Source organism: Homo sapiens, chromosome 1, assembly GCF_000001405.40.
Source record: "Homo sapiens chromosome 1, GRCh38.p14 Primary Assembly".
NCBI lineage: Eukaryota > Metazoa > Chordata > Mammalia > Primates > Hominidae > Homo > Homo sapiens.
This window is the reverse complement of record NC_000001.11, coordinates 98,942,641-98,956,838: the sequence shown is the minus strand read 5'-3', so window position 1 is coordinate 98,956,838 and position 14,198 is coordinate 98,942,641. Positions and strand designations below refer to the sequence as shown.

The 14,198-nt window shown below is 37.5% G+C and overlaps 1 protein-coding gene across 3 annotated transcripts in view; it reads left to right on the top strand.

Annotated features, from left to right (window-relative positions):
* PLPPR5 (phospholipid phosphatase related 5) overlaps nt 1-14,198 on the top strand; it is a 115,542-nt gene that overhangs the window by 48,948 nt on the left and 52,396 nt on the right. For all 3 annotated transcript variants that reach the window (XM_011540838.4, NM_001010861.3, NM_001037317.2), the window contains 2 exons: nt 98-230; nt 3,519-3,769. In XM_011540838.4, the coding sequence (XP_011539140.1) occupies nt 98-230; nt 3,519-3,769 (384 nt within the window). The remainder of the gene's footprint in view (nt 1-97; nt 231-3,518; nt 3,770-14,198) is intronic.

Below are 14,198 nucleotides of genomic sequence, written 5' to 3'. Positions count from 1 at the left end.
ATTCAAAGGGGCTCCATTTTACATTTTTAAAATAAAAATATTTTACATTTATACTGGTTAAATTCTAATATTCCTTAATCTTTTATTTTCTTTCAAGATAATAGTTGGAGAAACTGCTGTCTTTTGCCTACAACTAGCCACAAGGGATTTTGAAAACCAGGAAAAAACTATTTTAACTGGAGACTGTTGCTATATAAACCCGCTGGTGCGCCGAACTGTCCGATTTCTTGGTATGTGTTCATTAAATTATTTTTAATATTTCTGAAACAGTGTCTATGTGTAAGCTAAACCTTAAAATAACCCACATGTTAACTGTTTGCAAATATTAGGGGTTTTTTTCTTTGAAATGTTTCAATTTGCTTTTAAAAATAAACATTACACACTGCTTGGGTGATGGTTGTATCAAAATCGCAGACATCACCACTAAAGAACTTACTCATGTAACCAAACACCACCTGTTCCCCTAAAATCTACTGAAATAAAAAATAAATTAAAAAATTTAAAAATAAACATTACATACTACCTTCTCTTTAATATAGCAAGATCCCACTTTAGGATGTCATTTCCACATTCTTTTAAGGAAAAAAGAACACCACCTTTGGATGTTTAATATTCTTTAAGAGCCAAAAATTACGTGATTACTGTGTTTATGAAAATCTTTGAACGGTACTTAGTGGGAGGGTGGTGATAATCCAGGTAGGTTGTCGAACATCACGAAGGATAAGAAAAACAACTTGGAAAATAGAAGAAATGTAGCACTCCATGCACTACTTCTAAGTTGATTTTTATATAAACAAAAAAGTATTGGGGATTTTATTAGAGGACAAGATTCACTAATAATTTAACTTTCAATCTCAAATACTAGCAATAATAAATATATGCATGAATGAATTATTGAAAATCATTTTAATTCAGGACTTAGCCTAGACCCATTTTTTAACTGACGCAATACAATTTAATATAAATAATTGTTTCCTGGATTTATCAGATAAAAATAAGTGTATATGCTAAATGCCATTTAAGATAAATTTTTATTAGTATTAAGAGATGCACTAAAGATAATGTAACTCTTCAACATAGTTCTCATATTGAAGGGAACTCTTCCACATATTTCTCATATTGAAGGATTCAGGATGAAGACTTTGAAGATATTATGCATAGATCACCTAATCTATCTATAAACCCATTAAAGACTAGCCAAATGTTATCAGGCTTTTGGATCTCTCTGAAGACGAAAGGCCTTCATATCCAAGATTGTTATTTTTACTGACATCAAGTTATGTATCTCCAAAGCCCTCATTTATCCTGTTGAAGGGACAACTTTTATATGAAACCTTAAAAGTTATTTTTTCACATGTATCAATACTGTGTTCTTGACTAATTTCTTTTTGTATAAGTCATTTAATAAAAAAAGCAATATGCAACAATATGCTTAGAATTAAAACTATTTAAAGAAATTGATGCTTTCCTAAATACTGTTAAGCAAATTACATTGTACCTATTTAAGTAAAATATTTTTCTGCATTTGCACACATATTTCTAAAGAATATTTGGCTCAAAGTACAGTATGCTTTTAAGTCTCTGCATGCTTCTTCTTATATGATTTTATAAAATATGAAAGCCCATTTGTTTCTTGTTCCCTTATGGTTTGGATGTTTCTAGCTGTAATAAGTGGAAGCATGTAAGCGAAGCATCACTGTATAATAGTACATCATTCTGTATAGTGACTTTATTCTTTAGGTCAGTGCTTACTTTAGGTAAGCACTTTAGGTAAGTGTAGATACACTTACAGGATCTCACTTTAATAATTTTCTTTGTAGTCAACTACAGTATTAGCCTTGGGCTGATGCACTGACATTTTAATTCCAAACACATTTGGGAACTTTAAAGTGTCAAGAGACATTTCCACATTCTTATCAAATATTTCTCTCTGTTATAAACAGGAAAACCCGTTACACCAAACAGCCTAGATTTCAAAGGTGTACAAATGAAGAAGACTTGTGATTTAGGTTCCCATGCTTGGCCAGGAGATTTTGGAAGAAGTTTTATTGAGCTCAGTTCTCTTTAATTTCTCTTCCTCTTTCAAATTTCTGATTTTGATAACCTTTACTTTGTATGATTCAAACAATGCTGGTGAGATGTTAAGAAAGGGCTTCTTACTGTTTGCTTTTTAGATAAAGAGTGAACTAATATCTTTGTTTCATTCCCATTTGTGTACACATAGAGTTTTGCTGTGTGGGGGTTTTTGTATGTAAACTTTTTGTAATCTTATATAATATTTCAAAAATTTAAAAGAACAGCTATGCATCTAATACTGGAAAATTATTTGATCTGGTACAACTTTTATGGTGATATACTATACAACAGCCAATAATGATGAAAAGGCTTGGGAAACAAATAATCCAGAAATATATGACTAAAAAGAAAAACATCTAACTATTGTAACCTAAGTATATGACATTTTAATAAATCAGTACTTTTAGAAGTATTACTTTGGGATAGTTTTAAAAGGTCCTGTTGGATTTTATTCCCAAAATTATAAAAGGATGAATTTCCTTTCATTGGTACCACATCCTTGAAGATTGTAGCTCTAAGTTTAATTGAAATTAATGCCAAAAATTATTTTGCCCGTATAATAGAAAAATAAGTTTTAACAATAATAACCAATGACTTTGAATTTAGAAAATGTTTTTGGTATTCAAGTAAATTGGCAAGTTCCTTAGCAAAGGAGGAAAAAATATCTACACACTTAGTTCTATACCTTCAGGTAACCAAAGCAAATAAATTTTAAAACTGTAAAAATCATTAATAACCTATAATTTTGATTGCCTTGTTTACTAAATAGCCCACATTGGATCAATTGGAAGCCAGTCCATATAAGATAAGGTGGAAATAAATTACTAGCTGTTCTATGACTTTAAAAAAAATGTGTTTCTGAAGGCAATGTAGAGATTACTCTGAAAGCATTCTGGTTTACTTAAGATTTTCCATATTTAAATGAAAACTGATGGTACTGGATTTACTGCTAATTGGCACCTCCAGCAGCGTTAACATCAGTCTGAATGGGAGTAACAGCATAATCAAAGAGAGACAACTGCTTTGCTTCGTTAGTGAGATAAAAAAATTTTCAAAAAATGGGGGAAAAAAGGAAATTGCTAACATTAGTAGAGCATGATAGACTATACCCTCTCAAGGAACACATGACTCCATGAACAATTGCATTACCCGGAGTCTGAGAATACATGTTCTTATTTTATCTTATGTCTTATAAACCTGCCATGCCCAAAAACCAGTAGTAGACAGAGCAATATTTACCACTTTCACCACTCCAGAAAGCCAAGGAAAGAACTGGAGAGGGATGAAATAAAAGGAACTATGTATATGCATGGAATATTTTATAGTTTCTAAAATATTTCCATTTTGGTTTATTGTAAACTGAAATTCACACACACACACACACACACACACACACACACACACACAAGCAAGAAGTTAAAATTATTTGTTTTCTTCCCCAGGAATTTATACATTTGGACTGTTTGCTACAGATATCTTTGTAAATGCTGGACAAGTAGTCACAGGAAATCTGGCCCCACATTTCCTTGCCCTGTGTAAGCCCAATTATACAGCACTTGGATGTCAGCAGTATACACAATTCATCAGTGGGGAAGAGGCCTGTACTGGCAACCCAGATCTCATCATGAGAGCCCGAAAAACCTTTCCATCCAAAGAAGCAGCTCTCAGTGTCTATGCAGCTATGTATCTGACCGTAAGTAAGGATTATAAATTTGTTGTCTTAGTCTGTATTATTGTTAATTTTTCCAATGTAGAAATTCTTTTTCTCTGCCATAATGAAAGTCACTTAAAGCACATTCATATCTTTCTGTAGGCCATTTAATCTATTTTTAATAATAGCTGTTTGTACTCTGAACAAAATTAAGTCAGTTGACTCTCATGAGATTATGTGTGGGTAGTTGGTTGTATTAAAAAATGTAGCCATTAGCATTTCTATTTGAGAATATGTTTGTCTTTATATTAAACAGGACTTAGTGGAAACAAATTTGTTGTAGCATTCCCCATGAACTTGTAATAGCACGATGAAGAGAACTACCTAGGCCTCTTAGCTGCCTACCCAAGCTCTCATAGTCCCTGCTGGGGATGAAAGGGACACTCTTTTTTTCTAGAAAGCACTATTATTACAGGCAACTATATCTTCATCATATCTCAATTAGCGTTTAACGTTTTCTCATAGAACTAACCAAAGTGTCCTTAGAAATTCTATTTTTTCCTTTAGTCTTGAGAGTATTGGCCACCATCTTAGTGGCAAGAGCCAGGCCCCCAGGCAGCTATCCTAGGACCTTTAGTTGGAAGTGAGTGAGTGCATTACCCATATGCAGAAGGAAAAAGAAGGGCAGCTTTGGCAGGCAGCTCTTGTCCCCAACAATGGTACCATCAGCCTCTCCCTCCTCACAAGGATGTACCTTGCAGCTCAGGAGGTGGACTCCTAACGCGTTCCCTGTAGGCTTTTCCACAAACCCCAATAAGGTCAGAGATTTTTTTTTTTTTTTTTTTTTCTGAGACGGAGTCTCGCTCTGTCACCCAGGCTGGAGTGCAGTGGCGCAATCTCAGCTCACTGCAAGCTCCGCCTCCCAGGTTCACCCCATTCTCCTGCCTCAGCCTTCCGAGTAGCTGGGACTACAGGTGTGTGCCACCACACCCGACTGATTTTTGTATTTTTAGTAGAGATGGGGTTTCACCATGTTGGCCAGGCTGGCCTCAAACTTCAGACCTCAAGTGATCTGCCCACCTTGGCCTCCCAAAGTGCTGGCATTACAGGCGTGAGCTGCTGCACCCGGCCAGATCAGAGAATTAAATGTCTTCTGGGGTTCTCCTTCCCAGTGGTGCCAAATCTACTTCCTTCCAATTTCAGCTCATTAACAAGAGATCTGTAAAATCTCAGGACCAATTCGAAACCAAATTTGATTATTTCTAATGACTTGGAAAAACTTGGAATTATTTTTTTACCCTCAGAGAGCTATTTGATAATGGAAATGTTTTCAATACAATCATGTTATTTCTAAAAGCAGAAAGAATATATGGAATACCTTGTGACATCTCTACTTGAGATTCAAATAAAGATTACTGAATAAAAGGACAATTTAGGAAGGAAATACAGCATTACACGTAACATTTACAATGGCAGGATAATTTTAGAACCATAGAGTATGCATTTTAACATTTTTTAAAGTTTTTAAGCCAAGTTAATTCTATCCCTCACTGCCTGGACATTTTAAAAATCCCATCCAGAAACTTTTTATGGAGTCAAGGATTCTTTCCTTTATCCTATCTTATTTATTTTCTCTTTCACTGCTTCCTAACTTTTCTGAAGTTTGTCTGTTACAACTCTCTCCTTGCCATCTCACTGTGTCCCCAAACTCTATTCTTCTAATTTCCCCTGTTTTCTTTAGCCCATCAGCATTGCTTTTTCTTGCACATTCTAAGGTACCTTTGGGCCTGATATGAGGTATGGTAGCCCATGCATATTCTTTCCTATTCAAGAAATCTCTTGGCTACATGTTTCACCTCTACTAGAATATGAAGCACTCAGCCTTAAAACAGGGATTGAAACTTGAGTGAATCAGAAGTCACAAAGTACTTTTCACTCATTGCCATCACGTCTAAATTTGATGTTCATATTTGTATCTGGGTATGAATTGCAAATATATCTGCATATAAATACGTGACCTAGCCAATGATGGGAGACAAATTCCAGAATGCTCTCTGACCCCAAATATTCTTATACAAATATTTTAATACTAATAGACATTAGATTCAGATGGGGCGTGGTGGCTCATGCCTGTAATACTAGAACCTTGGGAGACCAAAAAGCAGAAAGATCACTTTGGAGTTTGAGACCAGCCTAGGCAACCTAGGAGATCCCATCTTTACAAAAAAGAGAGAGAGAAAGAAAAAAAAATAAGCAAAACCTCAGCCAGGTGTGGTGCTGCATGCCTGTAGTCCCAGCTACATGAGAGGCCAAGACGGGAGAATCTCTTGAGTCCAGGAGTTTGAGGTTACAGTGAGCTATGATCACTCAACTACACTTCACTCTGGGTAACAGAGCAAGACCCTGTCTCTAAATAAATAAGCAAATAAAAATTTAAAACACAGTACATGTTAGATTTTGCTGTGTAACCAATGTTTGCCAGTGGTGTTGATTGTGCTGCTATAATAATATACTTGGCCTTTTTATTCTGGCAAAATAGTGTTTCAAAGGCATTGCTACAGGAGACAGTATTATTGTTTATGCACTAGAAGAATCTCAACATCTTGTCTTGCTCCAGTCTACTGGCCACTGGCATGTATTTGTTTTATAAACTTCTGAATTATAAATCATACTGTTCTATAATAAAAATTGGGACATATTAATGATAATAATTATAACAAACATTTGTTGAACATTTACCATGTGTCAGGCACCAATTGCTTCACTTTTACTAACTTAGTTAATACTTTACTAGTTCCTTTGTATTTTTAAAGTTATTTATCATTATTATTTATTTAATAATTGATAATTTGTGATAATTTATTGAATCCTCGTAGCATTTTCTTAAAGTACGTGATATTATTTTACCCATTTATAAATGAGGAGACTCAAAAAGTAAAGTAACTTTCTCAGATCCATAGAACCACAAATTTTTCTGGTGGCGATGTTTCTGAATGTTCCAGAGAAGGAAACATTAGATTATTTTAGCCCTAGTGTGTGCATCTGCTGCTGAATTCTTTCCTGCATAATACCAGCATCCAGTAAACTGTAAAGCCAAGGGTGCAGATGGTAGATTCATTTAGAGCAAAATCCCTTAATAGACACTCCAGCACTGGGAAGTGTTGTACTGTTAAACATTGGTTCAGACTACAAACTAGGATTCCTGCTTGTAATTACATTGATGGGTACTTCTGTCTTTTTAACAATAGATTCTGTTCTCTGCTGTTTCTCTGTCTTACCCCACCACCCCTTTGTGTGTGTGTGTGAGTGTGGGTGGCTGCTATGGCAACTCTGAATATAACTCCTGCTGCAAATGTAAGCCTTATAGGCAGGCTTTGCTGTTATATTTGAACTTACATACAAATATATTTTTTCCCACTTTCACTAGAGACACCTTGGGAAAAGTTGATAATAGGAATGTTGGGGTGTTTCAAACTAATGCAGTCTCATGAAATGCTTGCCAGAATTTTGATGGGTAGTAAATAGAAAACAGCCATATATTCAATATCCTCTGTGGAAATGGTCTTATGGCTGTATTTAGTTAAAGGCATATTGATTTAATTTAGTGTTGGTGTTATAAACATACATAAATGCATAAATAAAAATCAATGAGCCCTGTTATGGAGTACGTAAATAATAACTGAGAAATATGTTTCTGATGCCTCTTTGTGTGGATTAGGAAATAAAACTGAGGAATTTGAACTCTCCCTTAACATCTGACTTTAATTAAGGCTTTGGTGCTAAGTTGATCATGGAGGTTTATTTTGCTTTACTGAAAATTTTCAGGAATAATAAAAAAAAAAAGCTCTATTCCTATTTTTGTAAGTACCATTGGTTCTCCGGGAAAAAAAAAATTGTGAGAGTTATTTAACTCTCAGTCATCAAATTTATAATTCAGTGTTCAGTGACATTAGAATGTTTAAATTTACCTTTGTGGTATTTCTTTTCATATAAATGGGTAAAGTTTTTTTCAATTAAAAGCAAATGAACTTCAAGGTTGAGAATGAATAATTATGTTTGGTGAATTTCCAGTTAACCTCATATAAATTGTTGAAACAGACAGACATGAAATGACCTCCTCGGGTCACTTCCAATTCTGACCTTAGATTTTTGAAAATGTCAAGGAAAAAGGGTCAGTTACATTTATTGGCCTCTGTTTCCGCTACGTGTTGCTGCATTATAAACCACCCTAGACCTTAAAACAACAACAATCTGTTACTGTCAGGATACGTAGGGTTGACTTGCAGTTTTCCTGCTAGTCAATCCTTGCTTCTTTCACATGACACATTCAGCTAATTCAGAGATCTGGGGTTTGGGCTCAGCCGAGACAGCACAAATAGCTGGGCCTCTCTCCTTCTCAACAGGTCTTTCTCACAAGGGTCATCTTCCCTGATGGCATCTCAGAGCCGCCTTCCAATAGGGTAATGACCCAAGCTGCAGGGTATCTTAAGACTTAGGTTCCTAAGCTTGTTACACATCTCTGTCACTGTATTTTATTGTCCAGAGAAATCACAAGGCCAGCCCAGATTGTTGGGGGTAGAGAAATAGATTCCACCTAGAGATGGGAGGTGCAGCGAAGTCACACTGTAATGAGGAGAATTTACTGGGATGGGAAGAATTTGTGGCATTAAACGATTTATCCCAGTCTTTTCCCAGAATACTGGTGGAAACTCTAAAATATCATTCCCTCTCTCCCCTTCCTCATTGGTGGCCAATCGTTGGCATTATCCCACTCTCACTTCCCACACAGCCATCTTTTATAATAAGCTCACAAAGTCCCATGCACAACAATCACTGCTCACAGGCTGCTGAGACAAGGGTTAAATAAACACAACCCACTAGTGTCTGTTTGCCCCTCTCTTCTTTTGAGACTTATTACCTAATTCTGTACAGGAGCATGAGCTAGCCCTCACTTGGAGGTATAAGGATTCAGGGAGTGCATGTCCGTTTACTTGTAGCAGGTGATTTCATGAGACTGGTCAGGGATTGTGTCTGGAGTAGAAACAATAGGGTGAGCCAAATGAAAAGCTCCAGGCTGCCATCATGTACTTCTTTTCACTGGCAAATGAGATATAGCTGCCATCAGAAGGCCATTCCTCTAAAGCTCCCTGCTTAGGCGTAATGTAATGCTGAAACGTATAAGGTCCCTGTGCTCTAAATGTCAAACAAGCAAATTTGATGAAGCATCTGCTATGTAATACATCAAAAATATTTACTGAGCATGCACTCATACTGTGACTGCTATACTATTATTATGACAACTGGTGCCATGACCACTATTATTAGTCGATTGATGTTTCACCTATTAGCCTTCAGCTAAGTGTTATTGATGTAGTTGGGGGAGAGTACAAAAGACATTTGTGAGGTATCTACTGGGTTCCAATATTTTCACTACCATGGACCCCTTTCATTATTAACCCTGTCTCCCTTTCCCCACACTACTCCATGAACTGCGTGTTTTAAAATCTTTAAAACACTTTTTAAATCTTTAAAATACTTTCCCATTGTATCTTAGGCCCAGATATTAAATAATTGCTCATAATCATAAAATATAATAATGCTGTTTTGCAGTTACACACATACAGCTATTAAAATGGCTTGGATGATAATAAACAGTTAAGTAAATGACTAAAGACCTAGAGATACTCTGCATCCTTACCTTAATTTTACTTGGCTTCTGTAAAAGACACTTACATTTGGGTATTCTGTGATTGACATGTGGCTTTATAATGGTTTTCTGGTTCTTCAGTCACATCACAGAAATTCCCATGTCTTCAACAACCACTAAGCAGCATGAGATCACCAGTGTTGCCAAATGACTTAGTGTACTCCCAGCCAAAAGCAAAGAACATTGACGTTTTGGTTAATGCATGTGGGCTTATGATGGATAAATATACTATTTGATTAGGCTGTTTGAAATATTGAAAAATATGTCAGAATTATATTTATGTGTCTGGGGTTTCTTATGTTAGCAAACGTCGGCTTGGGGACTGCTGATAGCCTCTTGAACATTCTAATTAAGAAAAGAGGACTTTCTATTCTAGGACATTATAAGATAGGGCTGTATTATGACTTCCATGGACCCTAGGTACTTTTGCCTTCATGGGCCCCTTCCACCATAAATAAAATTAAAAATGATATTTTACAAGTGTAGTTCTATAAAAATAATATATAAATGTTATACATTAAACATTTTCTTTTCACCTAAAAATTCACATTTACCTTCCGCTTCTAAAAAAAAGTTATGATATTTTCACGCGTCCTTCAAAGTGTCATGGGCCCTAGGTACTGTGCTTACTGTAATGCTGGATTAGTCTGCCCTGAGTAGGGGGTCTAATAAAGTTCTCTATGGAATATGATTGTAAGAGTATCTGGTAATGATGAGTCCCACCCAATGTCCAGGAGGGATGAGGTCCTGCTGGCAAGCATCACGGGAAGTGCTTCAGAGGTGAGTGGTACTTGGGGTGAGTCTTGGAGATGGACATGATTTGAACAGGGGGAGAAGAAGTGTCCCAGGGAAGGGCAATAGCAGAAGCAAAGGCAAAGAACAAGAAACACTGAAACAATCAGAAACAGGTAAGGGGGAACCTCAGCACGAGGGTGTACATTTGGAACTGTGGGATTTAAGGATTAGCAAGGGTGAATAAATCAGGAAGACTTTGTAAACCAACCTGAGGCTTTATGACTTGAATTAAAAAGCAATGTGGAACTGAGAAATGACATTACAGAAGCAGTGCTTCAGAATGGCTGTGTTTGATTCAATTCCATAAATATATATTGAATACCTAGAATGCATAAAGTCTCTACATACTGTTATAAACTCCTTTGGCAGCTTAAAAATGGTCTGGTAGAGAGTAAAGAGAGAATTAAAATTGAAAGAAACTAAAGGCGAGGGAAAGCTTTTAAGAAGATCAACACAGAATCTTGGGCATAAAATCAAAATCCCTAGACAGAGTCTCAGGATTTGGATTTGGATTTGGATTTAGCTGGTTTCCTTAAGATTGAGAGCCCTTATACTGATGTGACCAAGACCAGATGAAATGAAATGAAAGTCATAGTTTCTGAGGAATGGAGTAAGCTGGGACTCTGAGCTGCCAAGCCTGAGCCATGGCAGGGTGAGTACAGATTGGAGCTGCTAGGGAATCTCTAAGCACTTTCTCCTAAAGCACAGGAATAGGCAAGTCAGATCTAGACCTAGAGCCAGTACTGCATTGTCCACCTCAGAGTTTCTAAACCATCACCAGCTTACTTACACTATGGCTAAATGTGGCCGAGTTCATGGTCCAATTGTTCTGCTGTTTTATTTCAAACCTATGTCCCAGTTACCATTTACTGAAAAGTGACTATTGGCCTACTATCGTACTAGTTACTTTACCTTACCTCTTTATATGGCTAATTCTTTAGAGTGGCTGAAATGAAAGTATGGCTGTATTTATTTCACAGGTAACAAAATTGAGACTATGAGAAGCTAGTTGACTTGTCCAGGGTTATTCAGCTAGTCTGTTTTACAGCCAGGAATGTGACCCAGGCCACTGTGACTCCAAAGTCGATATTTGGTCTTTTACATCACACTACCTCCTGGAAGGTACCCCCATTGAAAAGAAGGCAGCCAAATTTTGAGTTATCCCCAGAGTGCAGTGCCTCACACACAGTAAGTGAAGGAAACTTGTTAGTTGATTTTAATTAAATGATGCATAATATGAATTAGGAAGATAGTTGAAAACGTGTGTGCTCCAGAAATTCCTGTCTTATGTCCTATTTTCCAGGTGACCAGGTAGCTCAAGCACTAAAAGCCATATAGATAGTCTTGATTATTGGATTTTAATTGTTCTTTAATTTTAAGTGAATGCATATTTTATAATTTTTATATGTTCTGCTCTACATATCATCTAAGGTGTTAAAGAGCTTTGCTTTTTAAAGTGACAACTTCTAAGTATTTTTAACTTCTTTTCCATATGCAACAATTGACTGCCTAACAACAAAACTAACACTGGCAGTGCTTATAGCTGGGTAGAACTCCATGGTAGGTAATATCACTTTGACAAGGTGGAACAGAAAAACAACAACAACTTATAATGAGCAGCTCTGAATACATGGTCATTTGATGTCAGGCCCAGTAACATGCTCGAGTCTGCTTTTCAAACGACACAATTATCTGCTGCAGGTGACATGGCCTTACTCCTGGACCCCTGGGGCATACATTGCGATGCTCCCACTGGAGCCTGCCATAAGCTCCAGACTCTATGTTTTCCCACCACTGACACATCAATCCCTAGAATGTCTGCTGGATCCATGGCCCAGGTACCAGAGCTGCTTTCCCCACAGCCTGTACCTGCTGCTGCAGAGCCCTTTCTTGCTTCAGGTTCTATTCAAAGTTGGCAGCTTTGTATGCCACCCAGTATCTTAGTCCATTCAGATAGCTCTAACAAAATATCACAAACTGGGTATAGCATATAAACAAAAGAAATTCATTTCTCACAGCTTTGGAGACTAGAAAGTCCAAGATCAAGGCTCTGGTAATTTAGTGTCTGGCAAGGGCCTGCTTTCTGGTTCATACATGGTGTCTAGTCATTGTGCCCTCACATGGTGGAAAGTATGAGCTAGCTCTATGGGCTCTGACCTCAAAACCTAAGCACTCCACCTCTTAATACCATCACTTTGCGAGTTAGGATCTCAACATATAAATTTGTGAGGGGGATACACACATTCAGATAATAGTATTTAGTATATGGGGCAGAGCAATACTTACTGATATGGGAGGTATTTTTCCCAAAACCCAAAGTGATCTACAAAGTATTGTGCGTCCTTCTTTGTGGTAGGGGTACGAGATGCAGTAATTGTCTTTTACTTTGGAGGGAATGTCTAGCATGCCACTGACCACTGGATCCCTAAAATCTTTATTGATGTCATTAGGCCCTGAGTATTGTAGGATTTATCTCCCCAAATCTGGAATGCATGTGTCTTACCAAGGCCTACAGTGTGCTAGCCAACTCTTGTTTATCTTGTCAGCATGATGTCTTGTATATAAGTGATCAATGACTAAACTGGGGGACATCCAAACTATCTCTATCTCCTTAGTCTAAGTTATGGCAGAGAGTGGGAGGGTTAATATAGCACTGACATCAACTGTGATGTAAGGAATTGCCTGTACCAGGTGAATGTGAACTGTTCCTCATCCTCTTTTTGGAATGGAATTGGAAACAACCCATTAAACAAATCAATGGCCAATATTAGTTGGTTGAAGATTCAGTGGTCTACACTTATCCTTCAGGATCTGAACAGTCTTGTGAATTACATGGAAATAGAAGAACCAGCACTCCTGCATTATTGAGATCTTGAGAGGTGACATTAAATCTTCACTATCCTCCCTTCAATAATGTAGTAGTATTTTTTATTTATTATCTTGGAGTTTCCGAATATTTCAATTAAATTCCCCTAATAAGTAGTTACTCCTCTTGTCAAGTATTGTGCATCCCCATTTATGCACTCATGGACTGAGGAAATGACCCCTGCATATGCTCAGAGACTTAATAGATCCACTTTCAGCCAGACTTTGGCCTGGACTTATTTATTACCTAGGCTCATATGTCCCTACTCTAACAGGGGACCGTGATGACACTAATTCAGGTCTCCATGTATCATTGTCTACACAGACCCTGTGTCCAGTCATCCTCAAAATATCTGGATATTTTTTTTTCTCCAGTGTATGGAAACCTGAGTAAATGACTGTGGGTCTTTTTGAAGAAGGACTGGGGAAATCATTACAATGTATACCTCCTACAGAGTTTCAGGGTCCTTCCCTCTGGGGACCTGATGCCTCTTCAGGCAATGAAGTCATTCAGTGTTGTAACTGTGCAAAGGGTTGAAGATTTTCCCTGGGGCACCCACCCTCATGTCATACATTCCCATTTTCTTGGGATGATATATATTAGGTAGTCTCGTGGCTCCCCGTCTATTTTGCCCCTAAGGGATGCTATGTTCTATAAACCACCTCTATAACTTTCTGTGTATTAAGTCCCTTTGGCTGTCACTCTGGCTTTGTGCATTGTTATGACAATTGGGACCCACTGGCTTGTGGTGGTTAAGCCCAGCACCTGGCTTCTCTTTCTTCAGGGATGCTGTAATCCCCATGGATATTAAGACACCCAGCTTTGTGACAGCTTCCCCTACCATCAGCCCTGACCTGCAGAGGAAAGGTATCACTGAACTTCTGGGTGATGCTGGTGTCCCTCTCACCAGTACACTCTGATGCCTCAGTGAATGAGGTGTCCACCCCTCAAGGCTAATATCATCTGGTGGGCCTTCAGTTCTCACATGATGTGTACATTCCAGCAATGCCCACTTCCTGGAGCCTTTTAATTCCTTCTACCCATTTGCCAAGACAATTCAGGAAATTCACCCTCATTCAGATAGAGCTATCACTTTCTCCATG